Raw genomic sequence first — 22,114 nt, forward strand, 5'->3', positions numbered from 1 at the left:
CGCATGCCTGTAATCCCAGCTACTTGGAAGGCTGAGACAGGAGAATTGCTTGAATACGGGAGGCAGAGGTTGCAGTGAGCCGAGACCGTGCCATTGAACTCCAGCCTGGGCAACAAGAGTGAAACTCTGACTCAAAAAAAAAAGGAAAAGAAACAAATAGAAAACGCGAAATGGTAAGAAAAAACAACATAATAAACATTTCTATGGTGTTGATGGACAAAGCATTTGAAGATAATATTTGAAGAAATCATATTACAATTAATTTCTGTTCTTACTCATTGGAGCTTGATGCCTCTAAAAACTTCGTCATTGGAAACACCTCTGGTGCTTTAAAAGAAAAAAAAATCCACACACTCACACAGGTGCAAGGAAATCAGAATCTCACGTATTGAGACCCAGGTCTCATCATTTCTAAGCTCCCCAGGTGATTTAACTCAAAGCCAAGATTGAGGAACGGCGACATGGATTTCTACACAGAACCTGCCTATATAGATTCTCTAGAAGCAGTTTATAAAGAAATTCCACATGAACTGTGGAAGAGGATATGAATTTAATGTACAGTATGTCCTCACTTAACATCTTTGAAAGTCTCTTGGAAACTTCACCCTGAAGCAAAATTATGTACAGTGAAGCCACTTATTTTTCTTCAACAGTACAACTACACAACTTTGAACAACCAATGCTGTTGGAGGACACCCTGTACATTGTTTCCATAAAGTCAGTGTTCAGGGAATTCCAAAATGAAGTGAGGGCTTCCTGTATATAAAAAGATGGTTGTGATTCCACCTGGATGACAGTGTTATTGCGCAGAAACTAAAGGAGGCTGCCTAGATATAGAGGATTCAGTCATGAGGTTTCTGCTCAACAAAGGATCCCAGAATCCTCACCCATTGCAGTTAAAGACATAACAAAGAAAGCAATATTCGCATAGGAAATGCGGAAAGGAATAAAAGCCATCAAGCCACAAAAATAATGTGACTAAGGGGCAGGATTTGCAGATGCAGAGATTTAATGTGGTTGCCCTTTCTCACGCACACAAGAAAAAGGATGGAACAGATCATGAGATTCGACTGTTCTGCTGCGCAGCCTCCGCAGGGCACTTTGTATGTCCCTGTTTCTCAGGCTGTAGATGAAAAGGTTCAGCATGGGGGTGACCACAGCCTACATCACTGATGCCACCACACCATTCCTGGGGGGTGGTGACACGGCTGAAGCCAGGTACATGCCAATGACTGTTCCATAAAACCAGCAAACAACTCCTAGGTGAGAGCCATAGGTGGAGAAGGCTTTATACTTCCCATCTGACGATGACATCCTTAGAATGGAGGGGACAATTTTATAGTAAGACAAAAGGATCCCTGAAATGGGAAGAAAACCAAACATAGTACTATCGAAATATATGAATATGCTATTGATGACGCTGTCAGAACAGGCAAGGTTGAGAAGCTGAGAGGGGTCACAGAAAAAATTAGAGATTTCCACATTCTTGATGATGGTGAATTGTAACACAATCCAACTGTGCAGCTGGGAATCCAACAGGTTAAGGAAAAAGGACACCAAAACGAAGAAGACACAGAGGTGAGGATTCACTATGACTGGGTAGTGCAGAGGGCGACAGATGGCTACAAAGCAGCCATAGGCCATCACAGTCAGGAGCATGCCTTCTATACATGCAAAAAGGACCAAGAAAGACATCTGTGTCAGGCAGCCCACATGAGAGATGACTCTGCTATGCGACTGCATATCCAGAATCACCTTGGGAACCGTGGCCGAGGTGAGACCGATGTCAGCCCAGCACAGGTTGGAGAGGAAGAAGTACATGGGGGTGTGGAGGGGGGAGTCAGAGCTGACAGCCAGGATGCTGAGCAGGTTCCTCAGCACCGTGACCAGATTCAGGGACAGGGACAGGGACAGCAAAGCGAGGACCGACTGCAGTTCTGGATCCTCTGAGAGTCCCAGGAGGAGGAATTCTCAGACACCTGTGAGATTCCGTGGCTCTGTGTGTCTTGGACACCTTGAGAAGGAAAGAGGATTGGAAAAATAAAAGATAAAAACCAGCCCTTAATGCTGGATGCAAGCAATTTACAAGGAACATCTTCACACTTCCGGACCATACATCGCCAGCAATGTTTCTCAGTTGTGACAATTCCAAAAATCTCAGAATTATTACGTGATTTGCTTTTTTGCTATACAAGGCTTTCTGTACATACTACTTTAGAGAAAATCCACGGAAGAATATTAGAAGACCAAAACGTTATATATAACAAATCCCTGATCTCAGTAAAATACAGCCTACTCTTTTCAGGAAAAATATAATGCAATGAAAATGTCCTTCTCTCTTTTAGAAAAAGATCTCAGTCTAATTGAAAGAAATTAAGAAGCCGTGAAATACACTCTACTTTATTCTGACACCGTGCTACAACTTCCATTGATGTAGAATATGTAAAAGGACGAAGCAAGAGCTAAGACCCCATTATCTGAAAACGAAATCGAACCTTAGAGTTCTCAATCGGAAGACCTTTTCACATGCCTGTTACTTTTCATATTTATTATCATCCTTTGGTTTTCTGACATCATTTCTTCATAAAAGTACATGCACACTCAAAAATGGGAGCTGTGTTTCCAAATGAATTGAATATATAACTCTTGGCCCAGCACCATGGCCCACACCTGTAATCCCAGCACTTTGGGCAGCCGAGGCTGATGGATCACCTGAGGTCAGGAGTTCCAGACCAGCCTGGCCAACGTGGTGAAACCCCGTCTCCAGTGAAAATAAAAAAAATTTAGCTGGGCGTGGTGGCGGGTAACCCTAGCTATGACAGCAGAGTGGGTGTACACCCTGATATTATTTGTAATATCCTAGAAAGATATTGCTCCTAATATCACGGTGTCTCTACACCCTGTGATATTAATTGTAATATCCTACAGAGATATTACTCCTAATAATACAGTGGGTGTACAACCTGTGATATTATTCATAATACATTACAGAGATACGACTCCTGATATCACAGTGAGTGTACACCATGTATGTACACCCTGTGATCTTATTTGTAACAACTTAGAAAAATATTACAGCTAATATCAAAGTGGGTGTACACCCTGCGATGTTATTTGTATCTACTAGGTAGATATTACTCCTAATATCACAGGGAGTGTACACCATGTGTGTACAGACTGTGAAATTATTCGTAATACCCTAGGAAGATATTACTCCTCATATCACAGTGGGTGTACACTGTGAGTGATATTTTTTTCTAATATCCAGCGGGGAAGAGGATGATATTGCTTCCAATATCACAGAAGATGTACACCCCCCTGCGATATTGTTCTTAATATACAGGGAAGGAGAGGATTACATTATTCGCAATATCACTGGGGGTGTACCACCTCCCGCCGGGATATTGTTCTTAATATCCGGAGGTGGAGAGAATGATGTTACTCCCAATATCACAGGGGGTGTACACCACCCCTGTTTGTAAACACCCCTTGTGATATTGTTCCAAATGGCCTGTGAAAGAGTACACAGGACTCCCATTATAGCGGGGGGTGTTCAGCCCTGATGATATTGTTTTCTAACATCCAGGGAAGGAGAGTATGCTATTACTTCCAATATCGCATGGGTTGTACACCCTTTTGTGTTTTTGTGCCCAATATCCAGGAAAATAGAGGATGATATTACTCCCAATATCGAAGTAATTGTACAGCACCCCTGTGATATTCTTCCTAATATCCAGAAAGGAAAAGAATGATATTACTCCCAACAGCGTAGGAAACGTATACCCGCGCTGTGGTATCTTTCCCAGTATCCAGGTGGGGACAGGATCATATTACTTCCAATGTCGCAGGGTGTGTACAGCCCCTCTGTGATCTCGTTGCTAACATCCAGGTTTGGGGAGGACGACATTACTCCCAATATCGCAGGGGGTGTACAACCCCCGTGACCTTGTTAGTCATTTCCTGGGTGGAGAGGATGATCTTACTCCCAATATCGCAGGGGGTGTACACCCCCCTGTGAAAATCTTCCTATATTCAGAGGGAGAGAGGATGATATTACTCCCACTACCGCAGGGGGTTTCCACAGCCCTGTGATACTCTTCCTAATATCCACAGGGAGAGAGGATGATATGACTCCCAATATCGCAGGAGGTGTACACAACCCTGTGATATTGTTCCTAACATCCAGAGCGAAAGAGGATGCTATGACTCTCAATATCGCAGAGGGTGTACACCCCTCCTGTAATATTGTTCTGAGTACCCTGGGAGGGAGAGGACAAGGTTACATTGAATATCGCAGGGAATGTGTACCCTCTCCCTCTGATACCCTTCCTAATGTCCAGGGGAAGAGAGGAAAATTTCATTCCCAATATCACAGAGGCAGTACACCCCACCTGTGATGTTGTTCCCAATATGCAAGGGGGGAGAGGATGATACTACTCTCAATATCGCAGGGCTGTTCACATCCCCAGTGACATTTTTTCCTAATATCTAGGGGAGAGAAAATTCTATGACAGCAAAGGTCACAGGGTATGTACATCCCTTCCTGATATTGTTCCTAATATCTAGGGGGGAAGAGGATAATATCAAATATGAAAGGGGGTGTACATCCCCCCCTACGATATTGTTCTTAATAATCGTGAGGGGAGACGATGATATTACTCCAAATATCGCAGGGGTTGTTCACAAACCCCTGTGATATTGTTTCTCATATCCAGAGGGGGAGAAACGCATATTACTTCCAATATTGCAGGTGGTGTAAACCCCACCTGAAATATGGCACCGAATATCCAAAGAGGGAGAGGATGGTATTCACACCAATATCGAAGTGTGTGTACACGCCCTTTGTGATATGGTTTTTAATATCCAGGGGGCGGGAGGATGATATTAGTCCCAACATCCCAGAGGGTGTACACTACCCCTGTGATATTGTCCCTAACTTGCAGAGGGGAGAGGATGATATCACTCCCAATATCTCAGAAGTTCTACATCCCCCGTGACGTTGTACTTCATATCCAGGGAGGAGCAGGATGACATTCCATTGAATTTCGCGACAGGCCTACACCCACCGTGTGATATTGTTCCTAATATGCATGAAGGGAGAGGATGATATTACTCCCAATAAAGCAGTGGGTGTACATCACCCCTGTGTTATTGTCTCTAATATCCGGGGCCAGGGGAGGAGGGGAGAGGATAATATTCCCTCAAATTTAGCAGGTGGTTTGACGCTCCTTGTGGTGTTCTTTTAAATATCCAGAGGGGAAGACAATAGTACTATTTTTGATAGTCCGATTCATCCGCTCCACCTTTCCGGAACTCTGAGGCCGGGAGGTGCCATGCAGTTTCCGTGTGATCCCCAATACCTTTGCCGTCTTCTGTACCAAGGCAGCCAAAAACGCAGGCCCATTTTCTGAGCCGATCTGTAAGGGCGGTTGAAATCTAGGAATCACATCTCGAAGAAGCACAGGGGTTACTTCACGAGCTTTCTCAGTTCGTGTTGGATAGGCCTCCACCCACCCAGAGTAGGTACGCCCAAGAACTAGTACACACTTGTTACCTCCACACTTTGGCATCTCTGTGAAGTCCACCTGGAGACCTTCAAAGGGGGCTGCTCCATAAGCTTCTATGGCGGGCGGAACGGCTGGACCTTGCCTCGCATCATGCTGTCGCAGGTAACACACCGCTGCCTCACCGTTTTGGCAAGGGCTGACAAAGGCGAGATGTAGAAATACCGGCCTAACAACTTTTCCAGTGACTCCTGACCTCGATGGGTGGTTTCTTGCACAGCCAGTACAACTGCGACTCCTAGCAGCTGTGGCACAGCTACTCTCCCATCTGGTAACCGAATCCATCCTTCCTCCATCACTTGTCCTTCCCACTACCTGGAGAAAGTCCTTTTCTTCTTTAGAAGAAGTAGGTCCAAGATCAGGTGCTTGAGGGAGCACTGATGCCCAGAAGGGTGCAGATGCTGCTTTTCGAGCCTCTGAGTCAGCGCGGGAATTCCACAAACCCAGCAAGGTGGAAGCTCGCTGGTGTCTTCTGCAATGCACAACTGCCACCTTGTGGGGTTTCCATACTGCTCCTAATCATTGCAAGATTTCTTCTTGATATTTTCTGTCTTTTCCCCCAGAGTTCAATAGGCCCTTTTCTTTCTATCACGCTCCATGCACTTGAAGGGTTAAAAAGACATACCGAGAATCAGTGTAAATGTTGACAGTCTCACCCTCACTGAGTTCTAAGGCCCGAATGAAAGCAATGAGTTCAGCTTACTGGACTGAAGTGGCCTGGGGCAACGATCTGGCTTCAACAACAGTGTCCAGAGTTATCACTGCATACCCTGCACCTCTCTCTCCTTGGGGGTTGAAGAAGCTGCTCCCATCCACGTATAGTTCCCAGTCTACTGATGCCCAAGGCTGGTCCCGGAGGTCAGGTCTGCTAGAGTCAACAGAGTCCAACACTTCTATACAATCATGATCAACAGGGCTCTCTGATACTGGGAGCAAGGTGGCAGGGTGTAGGGTGTTACAAACTTCAATAGTTATGAGGGGATTTTCGCAGAGCAGTTTGGTACTTGGTGAGTCTGACATTCGTTAGCCAATGATGTCCTTTAGTATTCATTAAAGTCACCACAGCACGGGAGGCCTTTATGTTCAGGTTTTGCCCAAGAGTCAGCTTATTTGCTTCTTATACTGGCAGGGCAGTTGGTGCCAAGGCCCTCCAACAGGGGGGCCATCGTTTAGAAACCCCGTCTAGTTGTTGAGAGAGGTAGGCCACCGGCCTCGGCCAGGGCCCCACAGTTTGGGTTGAAATTCCAGCTGCCATCTTTTCTCTCTCTGATGCATACAATAGAAAAGGCTTTGTCAGATTGGGTAGCCCCAGGGCTGGCGCTGCCAGAAGTTTTTCCTTTAACTCATGAAAGACTTGCTGTTGTTGGGATCCACATTCCAAAGGTTACCTGTCCCCACCCCCTTTGTGACCTCATACAAAGGCTTGGCTAATAGTGCAAAGTTTGGGACCCACAGTCTACAAAACCCCACGGCTCCTAAGAATTCTCTCACCTGCCTTCTGCTCTTAGGCTTTGCTAGATGGCAAATGACCTGCTTTCTTTCTGATCCCGGGCTGCGTTCCGACCCCTGTCAGATAGTAAATCCCAAGTAACGTACCTGCTGTCAGCAGTTCTGAGCTTTCTTCTTGGACACCTTCTACCCACAGTCCTCCAGGTGCCGGTGTAGGGCATCTTTTCCCTTGGCACACCCGACTGCCGTGGGGTGTCCCAGCAGAAGGTCATCAACCTGCTGGAGCAACACGCAGCCTAGGTCTCTGCTGGGAAACTTCTGGAGGTCTGGAGCCCATGCCTCCCCGAAGATGGTACCCTTGGGGAAGCCCGGTCCAAGTGTACTGAGTAGTGACACCTGACTCTGGATCTTCCCACTGAAAGGCAAACAACTTCTGCCTCTCAGGGGCTAATCTGATAGGAAAGAAACCGTCTTTCAAGTCCAAGCAGGTGAACCAGCTGTCCTCACCTGGCGGCAACCCCAACAATGTGGACGGGTTAGGTACTGTTGGATGTAAAGTCAGTGTAGCTTAATGAAGCAAGCGCAAATCCTGTACCGGCCGGTAGTCCTTGGTCCATGGCTTGGGAACAGGCAGGAGGGGAGTGTTCCATGGAGACTGACAAGGAACAATCATTCCAAAAGTTCTTAGGTGCTTGAGATGGACCTGGATACCTTGAAGGGCTTCTCTGGGGACCGGCTCCTGTTTTTGCCTTACTGGCAGGGCCCCAGTCTTAACTGGCAAATCCCGGAGGGTTGTCTTCTGCCCGTACTCTTGGCCACCGCTTAGCCAGAGCTGGTCTTCTCTCTTGGCCCGGCTCAGTTCAGAAAAGTCTCCATTCCTCCTCTCGGGGGACCGTAAGGGTCATAATGACTCCCGTTCTGGGTAACCTTAGCAACGAAGATCCGTGCTCTGTCAAACAGATAGTGGTTCTCAGCTTGCTGAGCAAGTTCCTTAACGAAAAGGTCAAGGGACAGTCAGGCATGTACCAAAACTGATGAATGACTTTATGTCCTCCTACAGTACAAGTCCGAGGCAAGCAGAAAGCTTGCTTTGCTGAAACCCCCTTGGCTCCGATGACGTCAGTAGTCTTTTTGGATAAGGGGGTGACCGGGGCGGTTACTACCGAATGTTCAGCACCGCTATCTACAAGAAAGTCAATGTCTCCACCCCCGACTCTCATTCTGACCAGAGGCTCAATGGGGACGCTTGAGCCCGGTCTCCCTCAGTCCAAGAACCCTTCTGCCAGGTTGAGCAGGGCCTATTCGTCCTTGTCCAGGGCCTCCTGCTCTGAGTCACCTTGTTTTCTTTTGAGCTCAGGGCATTTGTTCTTCCACTGTCCTATTTCTTTACAATCAGCACACTGGTTACGCTGCAAACTCTGACAGCCAAGCTGAGTTTCTTTCCCAGGGCCCTCCTTCCCTTGCCTCTTTGTTGGGGGGCCCCTCTGATTGATGCAGCTGACAAACAGGTCGGCGTGTCGCCGGGCCTGACTTCCATTCTCTTTGTCGTTTTCCTTACGGCTTACTGCATCCCTGTTTACAAACACCTGGCCAGCTATTTCTAGTAATTGGGATGGATTCATCCCTGCAAGCCCAGCCTGTTTCTGCAGTTTTCTTCTCATGTCTTCTGCGCTTTGACGGACTAAAGCCATGGGAATCATGCGCTGATTTTCAGGGCTATCGGGATCAAAGGGAGTATACATACGATAGGCCTCCCACAGTCTCTCGTAGAATTGTGCTGGACTTTCTTCTTCTCCCTGAATGACCTCAGAGAGCTTGTTAACATTTGTGGCCTTCTGAGCTCCCCTCATTAATCCTTCCAAGAGAGCTTCCCTGTCTCGGTTTAGCCTTGGCATATCCTCTCTTCCATGTGGGTCCAACTGGGGGTCGGTTCCTGGCAACTGGGTCCTTCCATAGTCTTGGGGGTTTTGATACTCAGTTGGTGCATGTTCCTCTAGCCACTTAGTTGCTGCTTGGAGGACTCTCCGCCTTTCTTCGCAGTTAAAGAGGAACATGAGCAACTGGTGCCAATCAGCCCAGGTGTGGTTGTGGGTCTGGATAACAGCTTGGAGCAAATCAATTAGGGATTGTGGCTTTTCGGTATAGGGCGGTGTATTGTTTTTCCAGTTGAGAAGGTCGACGCAGGTGAAGGGCTGGTACCCAAAAACACGCCTCTCCACCACGTGACCATCCTCATCTATCCCAGTCTACCCCTGCTCTATCAGGGGCATTTGTGTCCCGGTTTAGGGTCATAAACGAGCTGCCGAGGGAGGGGTGCAATGGCGCAATGCGACTTGCCGCAATTAATAATCTCAATTATTAATTCACACTAATATTTATCAATATTAATAACCCATAATATAATTTTTAAAATCAATACTGATAATAATGATAATTAATATTAAATATTTATGCTAACGATAATAATACATGATTAATATTAATGATTAATGAGGCCTGATATTAATAACTGATATTGATCTTATTCATTAGAAAACAGTAATATTAGCTCCTAATAATTCTTGTTAATATTAATAATCTGAAAACTATTTATTAGCAATTATTTCTTAATATTAATATTAATATTGGTCATTCATATTGATGTTAATAATAAATGAGGTATAATTCATGCTCATATTACACCCTAATACCTCAGTGGGTGTACACCCACCTGTGATATTGCTCCTAAAGTCCAGTGAGGGAGAGAGTATGATATTAAGTTCAATATCGCAGTAGGTGTACACACAGCCGGTGATATTGATCTGAATATAATCTCCAGGGGGTGGAGTATGACGTTATTCCCAATATAGCACTGGGTGTGCATCCACCCGTTGATTTTGCTCCTAATATTCACCGAAGAAGAGAATGCTGTTACTCCCAAAATAGCAGGAAGTGTACACCCCCGAGTGAGATGGTCCCTAAAAATATTCCAAGGCCGAGGGGGTGATGTGACGACATATACGGCAGAAAGGGGACACCCCCAAGGATATTGTTGGCATGATCCTGGAGGGAAGAGGATAATATTACTTTCAATATCAGAAAAGGCGGACATGCCCCCAATGATATTGTTTCTAATTGCAACGTGGGACAGGAGGACATGACACCCGATATCCCAGGGAGTAGAAACAGCCCTGAGATACTGTACCTAATATTCAGGGAGGAAGAGGATGATATGACTCCCAATACAGACGAGTGTACAACTTCTGCACATCCAGGGTGTACACAGGTCTGTGAAACAGTTCATAATCTGCAGAAGGGGAGATGATATTACTCACAATATGATAAACAGGCTGTGAGACCACCGCGGATCCTAAGAGCCAGGCGGGCAAGAGGGGCTGGCTCTTACTCCCCGCATCGCGGGAGGCGCCTCACCCCCCTGCCATGTGGATCGTCATATCCAGGAGGCGAGAGCGGGGTGATATGGCTCCCCGCATCGTGGGGTGCTCCTCACCCCCCTGCGATGTGCTTCGTCATATCTAAGGCGGGTCGTGGGGAGTGATATTGCTCCCCGATTTTTCCTTGGATTCTTTCTGTACTGCCACCCTCGTTTCACGCCCTGGCCCATTATCTTCCATATTCTCGCAAGATGCGGCTGCTAAAGTCGCAGGGGCTATACACCCTTCAATATTTTTCGTAATTTTGTTGGGGATTGTTAAACCTGATATCACAGGACTCTTTACACTGTGATGTTATTCCCAATATCCTAGCGGGTCATTAATAATAATGTCACAATGTGTGTACACTTTGTGATGTTACTCTTGTTCTCCTAAGCGGAGGTTACTTTTATTGTCACACGGGGTATGTTCCCTTTGATAGTATTCATAACATCCTAGAGGGATGTCACTTCTTATGTCACAGGGTTTGTACACCTTGTCAAATTACCCGTATTATCCTCATAAGATGTCACTGCTCATATCACAGAGGGTGTACACTCTGTGATCTTGTCGTCGTATTCTAGGGACATGTTACTTTTAATGTCACAGAGGGTGCGCCCCTTCTGAAATTATTCGTTATAATTTTGTGGGATGTTACCTCTAATGTCACACGGCGTGTACACACAGTGATGTTTCGTGCAATATGCTATGGAAATGTTACTCGTAATTCACAGGTCCTGTACACCCTTTAATATTCTTCGTAATCTTCTAGGAAAACGTTACTTTTAATGTCACAGGGCCTGTAGACCCTGTCATAATATTTGTAATATCCTAGCGAGAGTTCACTACTAGTTTCACAATGCGTGTACACCCTTTGATATTATTCGTAATGTCCTGAAGAGATGTTACTACTGATGTCCCAATGCAGGTACGTTCTCTGATTTTATTCGTTATATCCTCGGGGGATGTTACTTCTAATGTCACACGGGGTGTGCTCCCTGTGTTCTATTTCGTAATATCCTGGGGCAATTTTACTTTTAATGACACAGGGGGTGTACACATTGTGATTTTATTTGTGGTAATCTAGAAAGATGTTACTCCTAATGTCAGAGGGCTGTACACCCTGTGATATTATTCATAATTTCCCAGGGGTCTATACTCCTATTGGCACCGTCGATAACACCCTGTGACATTATCCGTTAACATTCTAGCGAGATGATACTCCTCATGTCACAGGGGGTGTACACCCCGTGTTATTATTCTTACTATTCTTGGGGGATGTTACTCCAAATGTCACAGGGATGTACACCCTGTGATATTATTCACAGTGTACCAGAGGGATATTAGCACTAATGCCATGATGCGTGTCCACCTTGTGATGTTATTTGTCATATCCTAACGTCACAAGGGGTGTGTTCCGTGTGATATTCTTCCTAACATCCTAGACGGATATTACTCCTAACGTCACAGGGTGTGTACACCTCGTCACTTCATTCACAATATCCTAAAACTACGTTATTCCTCAGCTCACAGGGGGTGTTCACCCTGTGATATTTTTCCTCATAGTTTTGTAGGGTGTTACTCCTAAAGTCACACGGGGTGTACACAGAGTCACACAGTGATATGAGTTGTAATAGTCTATAGACATGTTACTCGTAAATCACAGGGGCTGTACCTGCTGTGATATTATTCATAATATTTTATGGGAATGCTGCTACTATTGTAACGGGGGTGTACGCCCTGTGATATGACTCGTCATATCCCAGAGGGATGTTACTACTGATGTCACAATGCCTGTACAGCCTGTGATATTATTTGTCATATCCTAAAGAGATGTTACTACTAAAGTCACAATGCATGTACACCCTCTGATATTATTCGTTATATCCTCGGGGGATGTTACTCCTAATGTCACACGGGGTGTACTCCCTGTCATATTATTCGTAATATACAAGGGGGATGTTATTTTTAATGTCACCGGGGGTGACATTACGCATTAAAAATGTGTATTCCACGCCTGTGACACTATTCCTAATAACCTAGGGGCATACTCTTCTGAATGTCACATGGGGTGTACACCATGCGTGTACACCTGCTGTGATATTATTTGTAATATCCTAGGGGAATGTTACTCCTGATGACACAGGCAGTGTACACCATGTGTGTACGCCTCCTGTGTCATTATTCACAATATCCTAGGGGGATGTTTCTTTTAATGTCACAAAGAGTGTACAAAACGTCATAGGAGGTGTACACATTGTGACGTTATCTGTAATACCCTAGAAAGATGTTACTCCTAATATGTCACAGGGGCGTACACAGTTTGATGTTACTTATAATCTCATAGAGAGATATTACTTCAAATGTCACAGTGGATGTACACACACAGTGTATACCCTGTGATAGTATTCATAATATCCTAGGGAGATACAACTCCTGATGTCACAGTGCGTGTACCTCGTGTGTGTACACCCTTGATATTAGTCGTAATATCCAGGGTAAATATTACTCCTCATATCACACAGAGTGCACACCCTGTGATATTTTTCATCATACTTTAGGGAGATATTGCTTCTAATATCACAGTGAGTGTACCCCATATGTGTATACTCTATGACAGTATGTTCTATATCCTAGGGAGGTATTACTCCTAATATCACAGTGCGTGTTCACCCTGTGATATCATTCTTATTTGACCTTGCTGCCTTTTTTAACCCACACTACAAAAGGCATGGAACAGATAAGGAGATATTGACATTAGACTGTGCTGCCGTGCGGCCGCCGCAGGACACTTTTAATATCCCTGTTTCTCAGGCTGTAGATGAAGGGGTTCGGCATGGGGGTGACCACCGTGTACATCACTGAGGCCACTGCAGCCTTTCCCGGGGAAGATGACACATCTGAACTGAGGTACCCCCAAAAGCCTGTTCCATAAAATCAGCAAACAACTGACAGGTGAGACCCACAGGTGGAGCACGCCTTATACTTCCCACCTGATGATGAAACCCTCAGAATGGAGGAAACAATCTTATAGTAAGAGAAAAGGGTCCCCGAGATGGGAAGAAAACCAAATATGGCAGCAGGGGAATACATGATTATGTTATTGGTGAAGGTGTCGCAACATGCAAGATGGGGGAGTTGAGAAGGTTCCCAGAAGAAATTAGGAATTTCCACATCCTTGAAGCAGGTCATTTGTAAGGCAATCAAGTTGTGCACCTGGGCGTCTAAAAGAGACTGAGAAAAAAAAGACAACAAAACTAGAAAGCCACAGAAACACGGGTTCATGATGGCTGAATGATATAGAGGGTGACAGATGGCTACAAACGGGTCATAGGGATCACACTCAGGAGCATGTCTCTCTTCCATGCCTCCAAAAATGGCAAAGAGAGACATGGGAGTCAGGCAGCCTGCCTAGGAGATGAGTCTGCTGTGAGATTAGATGTCCACAATCATCTTGGGGACCATGCTGGAGGTGAAACCGATGTCAGGCAAGGACAGGTTGGAGAGGAAGAGGTACATGGGGGTGTGGAGGTGGGAGTCAGGGCTGACGGCCAGGATGATGAGCAGGTTCCCCAGCACCGTGACCAGGCACATGGACAGGAACAGCCCAGCGAGGACAGGCTGCTGTTCTGGATCCTCTGAGCTTCTAGGAGGAGGAATAAAGAGACATCTGTTAAATTCTGCGGGTATGTAGAGATTGAACACCTTTTGCCTAGGAAAGAGGGTTCAAAAATCGGAAACAAGTAAACCAACACCCAGCATCGTGTCTGCACTTTGGATAGAAGCAATTCACAAGTCATGTTTTCAGATTTCAGAACAATCCACACTCAGCAATATTTTGCAGTTCTGACAAACTTAATTGTCTTCTAATGCTTTCATCATTGATTTCTGTGTTATTCACTTCTTGCTGTACACACCTGTCTTAGAGACACTAGATTCAAGAATGTTCCAAGAACCAGATCATAATATAGAACAAATTCACAATTACTAGAAAATACAGCCTATCTTTTCCGAAGAAAACTCTGTAATGGAACCATTTTCCTCACTTTAAGAAAAAGGTTATTCTAATTAAAGGAAATTAAGATCTCATTTTCTTTGATTCGAATACACTGATACAAATTCCCTTGATGTAGAAGATTTATAAGCACTGTATAACAGCTGAGACGATGCCATCTGGAAATGAAATGAAAGTTGATAGTTCATAAGCAGAAAATAGTTCCACAGGCCAGATAGGTCCTAGTGATTTTGTCATTATGTTTTCTGACTTTTCTCCTTCCAGAGAGTAATTGCTTCCTCAAATCGGTGGGTCTTGTTTTAAAATTCATGGAAGCTCTAACTCCTGTCCTTAGGTTAGGTGGACTTAGAGTTTTCATCAGAACATTTGGCTGGACGCGGTGGCTGACGCCTGTAATGCCAGCACTTTGGGAGGCCGAGGAGGGCGGATCACGAGGTCAGGAGATCAAGACAATCCTGGCCAACGTGGTGAAACCCCGCCTCTACTAAAAATACAAAAACTTTGCCCGGTATGGCAGCGCGTGCCTGTAGTCCCAGCTACTCGGGAGGCTGAGGCAGGAGAATGGCTTGAACCTGGGAGGCAGAGGCTACAGTGAGCCGAGATCACACCACTACACTCCAGCCGGGGCAACAAGAGCAAAATTCCATCTCAAAAAACAAAAAATAAAAAACACGCACTCTGTCACACTGATGTCACACTGATGACAGCCAATTTTTGTGAACCAAGGAAGTGTCAATTCAATAATTCACATAGATTTTTACTTTTGCTGTCTCCTGTATGCCAAGCAAGATATCGGCTCTGGGGAATCAGAAACAAAAGAGACTCACTTGTTCCTCTCACAGTACCCAGTACTTACTGAGAGAAGGACAAAAAAAATGTCCTGCGTGGAATACAGGGAAACCAGAACTTCAGGTCAGGGGATATTTCTGTTGGACTGTGTGGAGTTTAAGCCTAAAATATTAACGAAGGGCACCGACGATCTGTTTAATCATCGCTCAGTTCTATTGGATCAACTAGAAATCAACTCAGATGAGAGTGCTGAGTCCCAGAGGATGGACATCTCACCCCTTGCCATACAGATAAGTAGAAAGGGTGGTACTGAAAATTAATGGCCAGACTCTAAGTCCCAGGTACTATACTTGATGGTCTCCCAACTCTCAAAAAGTTGTGGGGTTTTTTTGGGGGGTTTTGTTTTTGTTTCTTTGAGATGGATTCTCGCTCTGTTGCCCAGGCAGGAGTGCAATGGACAGATCTCGGCTCACTGCAACCTCCGCATCCCAGGTTCAAGCTGTTCTCTTGCCTCAGCCGAACACCTGACCTTGTTATTCACCTGCATCAGCCTCCCAAAGTGCTGGGATTACAGGCATGACCCACCGCGCCCAGCTTCAAAAAGTTTTAAGCAGAGCTCAGAGGTCTTAATCACAGGCACATTGGAGGAGCATTTTTGAAATGGTTTCTAGCTTCCTCAATATGAATGGAAGCCAAACTCTGAATTGATGACCCCTTTGAGGAAGCCCAGAGCTGTAAGGAAAGCCAGGAACAGGGGCAAGGGAGAGAGGCATCCCGAATGATCCTGTGCCCATTCTTTCTGGAATCTTTGATGTGATCTCAGCTACCCTTTCCATACTTGACGCAGTGATTGTGGCACCCACTGCTCTAGCTGTGTTCTACAAGGGACCCCCAAAGGGAAGGGCACAGGGAGCAGGGGCGTCGGCCTGAGTGACAAGGATTTCAGAAGGCAGGTTGGATGCAGGGAGAGAACTGGCCAAATGCCATGTGTCTGGACTTAGACTGCCTGGTTCAAATTGGACTTCACCCTTTTTGACTTCACGATCTGCTACAAGTTCTATGAAAATGCGTTGCTCCTTTTCTAGTCTGTAAAATCATCATGAAATGTGCACTAATAACGTGGAGACTATGCAGATGAAATGAAACAAGCTGCATAGAGCACAGAGCTCAGAGCCTGGCCTTCAGGAAACCCTCAGTAAGGGTTCATGATGCCATGGTGTCCGTCATCATCGTCTTTATCCTCATCATCACCTTCATCCTCTTTTTGTTGTTCTGATGGATTAGTTTAGAGGGACTCATTCCCTGCTATCATGGGTGAGATGTCTATGAAAAGGATAACCAGTTGGGGAGGAAAGCAACATTTTGAATGAGATTTCCGAGAGAGACCCCCCCACCATAACCAAGAACAGAAACTCCACAGTCTGCTGAGCTGACAGTTTGCACATTGGTCTCCTCCCATCTGCCCACGGCACTCTCCTGTTTGTCCTGAGGAGGAGGAAACCAAACAAGGCTCCCGACCGTCCCTCAGCACTCACGGAACCGCCCTTCCCCTCTGCTGGGCCATGACCACGGAGAACAGGTCCACTGTCCTCCCTGCGTGGTGCACATTGGGGGCTCAGACTCCGTCCTCAAGGCTGGCAAGAAGACAGGGTGAGACATGAGCCTCCTGATACAGGTGACGGGTGTGGAACCCACAGGACTGGAACCTCACATGCAGGGCTGGAGGCACAGACTGACTATTTACTATTCTGTGGCCTGGGAGGCTCAAGGCACAGAGCTCCTCATTAGCCAAAGTCGCCCAAGTTCCCCAACCTCTAAGGATTTCCTCATAATTATGAAAGAAGAAGAGAAAAGTGAGTGTCCATAGAAGCTCTGGGGCTTTTCCTCTAATCAGGAGGAAGCTTGTGTGGATTATTCGCTTCTTTCTTTCCTTTTGCAAGACCGAAGTGCTTTTGTTTTCATCTGTTATGATGGGAAAATATACCACGTATACATCTTAAAAATTATAAATATATATTATTTCATATAGAATGGCCAGTATCAACATTGACAATTTCCACTATTTTTCAGTTTACAGTTTAATCACATTAGGTACATTCACAGTGTTTAGCAACCATCACCGCCATCATCTCCAGAACAGTTTTATCTTTCAAAATGGAAATTGCACCCATTAACCAAACTCTCCATTCCTCTCTCTCGCCCATCCCTGGGGGCCACCATTCTATTTTGCAGCTCTATGAGTTTAACTACTCTAGACCCTTGATGTAGGTGGAATCCTACCGTGTTTAATTTTTTTATTTGTTTGTTTTGGAGACAGAGTCTTTCTCTGTAGCCCAGGCTGGAGTGCGGTGGCATGGTCTGGGCTGACTGCAACCTCCACATCGGGGATTCAAGCGATTCTTGTGTCTTAGTCTCCCGAGTAGCTGGGATTACAGGTGTGCGCCACCACGCCCAGCTAATTTTTGTATTTTTAATAGAGACGAGCTTTCACCTTATTGGCCAGGCTGGTCTCGAACTCCTGACCTTAAGTGATCTGCCTGCGTCAGCGCCCCAAAGTGCTGGGGTTACAGGTGCGAGCCACTGAGCCTGGTCGTGTTTATCCTTTTGGGATTTATTTACTTCACTGACGATAATGTCTTCAAGGTTCATCCACGTTGCAGCCTGTGTCAGAACTGCCTGTCTGGTTTTTTTGTTTTCTTTCTTTCTTTCTTTCTTTCTTTCTTTCTTTCTTTCTTTCAGTCTCTCTCTCTCTCTCTCTTTCCTTCTTTCTTTCTTTCTTTCTTTCTGTCTCTCTCTCTCTCTCTGTTTCCTTCTTTCTTTCTTTCTTTCTTGGTTTTGTTTTGTTTTGTGTTTACATGGAGTCTCACTCTGTCACACAGGCTGGAGTGAAGTGGCACAATCTGGGCTCACTGCAACCTCCGCCTCCCAGGTTCAAGCGATTCTTGTGCCTCAGCCTCCTGAGTAGCTGGGACTATAGGCACATGCCACCACGCTCGTCTAATTTTTTTGCATTTTCTGTAGAGACAGGGTTTCACCAAGATGGTCAGGCTGGTCTTGAATTCCTCACCTCAGGTGATCCGCCAATCTCTGTCTTCCAAGATGCTGGGATTCCAGGCCTCAGCCACCACACCTGGCCAAGATTTTCTTTTTTGTTCCTACATATAAGTGAGGACATGAAATATTTGTCATTCTCTGCCTGGTTTATTTCACTTCATATACAGACCTGCCATCTCATCCATTTTGTCTGCAGTGGAGAGGATTTCATTCCTTTTTAGGCTGAATAATACTTCATTGTGTGTGCATACCACAGTTTCTAAATTGAAACAAATTTCTAAAAAGGAAATATTTTTAAAATATCTCGGAATGTGAAACTTCAGGGATACTGTGCCCATTTTATTCTTTTCTATTTCCCATCTTATGTATATGTGAGTGTATAACAAAGCAGCAATCAATGTGTGTATAAATCTCCAACTTGAAGAAATGTAAAATGAAAATGCTAAGTGGTGGCTGGGCGTGGTCACTCACGCCTGTAATCCCAGCAGTTTGGGAGGCTGAAGAGGGCGGATCACCTGAGATCGGGAGTTCAAGACCAGCCTCACCAATATGGAGAAACACTGTATCCAGTTAAGATACAAACATAAATAAAATAAATAAAAAATTAGCCAGGCATGGTAGCGCATGCCTGTAATCCCAGCTACTTGGAAGGCTGAGACAGGAGAATTGCTTGAATATGGGAAGCGGAGTTTACAGTGAGCTGAGATCATGCCATTGCACTCCAGCCTGGGCAACAAGAGTGAAACTCTGCCTCAACAAAAACAAAGAAAAAGAAACAAAATAGAACATGCTAAATGGTAAGAAAAAACAGCATAATAAACATTTGTATGGTGTTGATGGACAATGCATTTGAAGATCATAGTTGAAGAAATCAGATTACAATTAACTTCTCTTCTTACTCATTGGAGCTTGATGCCTCTAAAAACTTCTTCATAGGAACAACCTCTGGTGCTTAAAAAAAAAAAAAAAAAAAACCACATACTCACACAGGTGCAAGTAAATCAGAATCTCAGGTATTGAGACCCAGGCCTCATCATTTGTAAGCTCCCCAGTTCATATGACTCAAAACCAAGATTGAGGACCAGTGACATGGATCTCTACACACAAACTGCCTAAATAGATTCTCTAGAACAGTTTATAAAGAAATTCCACATAAACTCTGGAAGAGGATATGAATTTCATGTACAGTATATCCTCACTTAACATCTTTGAAAGTCTCTTGGAAACCTCACCTTTAGGCAAAATTCTGTATAGTGAAACCACGGATTCCTCACCAATATTATAACCAAACAACTTTGAACACACCAATGGTGTCGGAGGACCTTCTGTACATTGTCTCCATAAAGTCAATTTTCAGGGAATTCCAAAATGAAGTGAGGACTTCGTGTGTATAAAAAGATGGTTGTGATTCCACCTGGATGACAGTGTTATTGCGCAGAAACTAAAGGAGGCTGCCTAGATATAGAGGATTCAGTCATGAGGTTTCTGCTCAACAAAGGATCCCAGAATCCTCACCCATTGCAGTTAAAGACATAACAAAGAAAGCAATATTCGCATAGGAAATGCGGAAAGGAATAAAAGCCATCAAGCCACAAAAATAATGTGACTAAGGGGCAGGATTTGCAGATGCAGAGATTTAATGTGGTTGCCCTTTCTCACGCACACAAGAAAAAGGATGGAACAGATCATGAGATTCGACTGTTCTGCTGCGCAGCCTCCGCAGGGCACTTTGTATGTCCCTGTTTCTCAGGCTGTAGATGAAAAAGTTCAGCATGGGGGTGACCACAGCCTACATCACTGATGCCACGACACCATTCCTGGGGGGTAGTGCCACAGCTGAAGTCAGGTACATGCCAATGCCTGTTCCATAAAATCAGCAAAGAGCTGCCAGTTGAGAGCCATAGGTGGAGAAGGCTTTATACTTCCCATCTGATGATGACATCCTTAGAATGGAGGGGACAATTTTATAGTAAGATAAAAGGATCCCTGAAATGGGAAGAAAACCAAACATAGTACTATCGAAATATATGAATATGCTATTGATGACGCTGTCAGAACAGGCAAGGTTGAGAAGTTGAGAGGGGTCACAGACAAAACTAGAGTTTTCCACATTCTTGAATAAGGTGAATTGTAACACAATCCAACTGTGCAGCTGGGAATCCAACAAGCTAAGGAAAAAGGACAGCAAAACTAAGAAGACACGAAGGTGAGGATTCATGATGACTGGATAGTGCAGGGGGTGACAGATGGCCACAACTCTGTCATAGGCCATCACAGGAGCATGTCTTCCATACATGCAAAAAGGACCAAGAAAGATATCTGTGTCAGGCAGCTCACATAAGAGATGACTCTGCTATGCGACTGCATGTCCACAGTCATCTTGGGAACAGTGGCCGAGGTGAAACCGATGTCAGCCCAGCACAGGCTGGAGAGGAAGAAGTACATGGGGGTGTGGAGGTGGGAGTCAGAGCTGACAGCCAGGATGATGAGCACGTTCCTCAGCACCGTGACCAGATACATGGACAGGGACAGCCCAGCGAGGATGGGCTGCAGTTCTGGATCCTCTCAGAGAGAGTCCCAGGAGCACTTTTCAGACACCTGTGAGATTCCGTGGCTCTGTGTGACTTGGACACCTTGAGAAGAAAAGAGGATTGGAAAAATGAAAAGATAAAAACCAGCCTTAATGCTGTGTGCACATTTTGGATGCCAGCAATTCACAAGGAATATTTTCACACTTGAGGACCATACACCATCAGCAATATTTCTCAGTTGTGACAAACCCCAAAATCTCAGAATTATGACATGATTTACTTTTTTCCTCTTCAACTCTTTCTGTACATACTACTTTAGAGAAAATCCACTGAAGAATGTTAGAAGACCAAAAGGTAATACATAAGAAATCCCTAATCTCAGTAAAATACGGCCTACTCTTTTCAGAAAAAACAAAATGCAATACAAATGTTCTTCTCTCTTTAAGAAAAAGATCTCAGACTAATTGAAAGAAATTAAGAGCAGGGAAATACACTCTATTTTATTCTGACACCGTGCTACCAATTCCTTTGATGTAGAATATCTCAAAGGATGATACAAGAGCTAGGACCGCATTCTCTAAAAACGAAATGGAACCTTAGAGTTCTTAATCGGAAGACCTTTTCCCATGCCAGTTACTTTTCACATTTATTATCATCCTTAGGTTTTCTGACATCATTTCTTCATAAAAGTACATGCACACTCAAATATGGGAGCTGTGTTTCCAAATTAATTGAATATAGAACTCTTGGCCGAGCGCGATGGCTCACACCTGTAATCCCAGCACTTTGGGCAGCCGAGGCTGATGGATCACCTGAGATCAGGGGTTCCAGACCAGCCTGGCCAACGTGGTGGAACTCCATCTCTAGTGAAAATAAAAAAACATTAGCCGGGCGTGGTGGCAGGTAACCCTAGCTACTCGGGAGACTGAAGCAGGAGAATCCCTCAGAACCTGGAAGGCAGAGATTGTACACCCTGTGATATGATTTTTGATATCCTAGGGAGATATTGCTCCTGACATCAGAGTGGTCGTACACCATGTGATATTATTTGTAATCACCCAGGGAAATATGATCCCTAATATTACAGTGGGTGCACACTCTGTGATGTTATTTGTAATGTCCTAGGAACATATTATTCCTAATATCAAAGTGGACGTACACTATGTGTGTACACTCTGTGATCTAATTCGTAATATCCCAGAAAGATATTTCTCCTCATATCACAGTGAGTGTACACTCTGTGATATTATTCGTACTATCCTAGAGAGATATTGCTCCCAGTATGACAGTGGGTGTACA

At 44.9% G+C, this 22,114-nt stretch overlaps 3 pseudogenes, besides 2 other annotated features; all 3 read right to left on the reverse strand.

Moving 5' to 3' along the window:
* Positions 1,033–2,058, reverse strand: OR7E8P (olfactory receptor family 7 subfamily E member 8 pseudogene; annotated as a pseudogene).
* Positions 7,796–8,296: an enhancer, noted in NCBI's record as "H3K27ac hESC enhancer chr8:12548412-12548912 (GRCh37/hg19 assembly coordinates)". NCBI's record gives its function as "activates a minimal SCP1, AML or CMV promoter by ChIP-STARR-seq in naive H9 embryonic stem cells {active_cell/tissue: H9 hESC(naive)}" and the evidence as "EXISTENCE:reporter gene assay evidence [ECO:0000049][PMID:30033119]".
* Positions 8,297–8,797: an enhancer, noted in NCBI's record as "H3K27ac hESC enhancer chr8:12548913-12549413 (GRCh37/hg19 assembly coordinates)". NCBI's record gives its function as "activates a minimal SCP1, AML or CMV promoter by ChIP-STARR-seq in naive H9 embryonic stem cells {active_cell/tissue: H9 hESC(naive)}" and the evidence as "EXISTENCE:reporter gene assay evidence [ECO:0000049][PMID:30033119]".
* On the reverse strand, positions 13,263–13,918 carry OR7E15P (olfactory receptor family 7 subfamily E member 15 pseudogene; annotated as a pseudogene).
* On the reverse strand, positions 19,945–20,931 carry OR7E10P (olfactory receptor family 7 subfamily E member 10 pseudogene; annotated as a pseudogene).

Source organism: Homo sapiens, chromosome 8, assembly GCF_000001405.40.
Source record: "Homo sapiens chromosome 8, GRCh38.p14 Primary Assembly".
Lineage (NCBI taxonomy): Eukaryota > Metazoa > Chordata > Mammalia > Primates > Hominidae > Homo > Homo sapiens.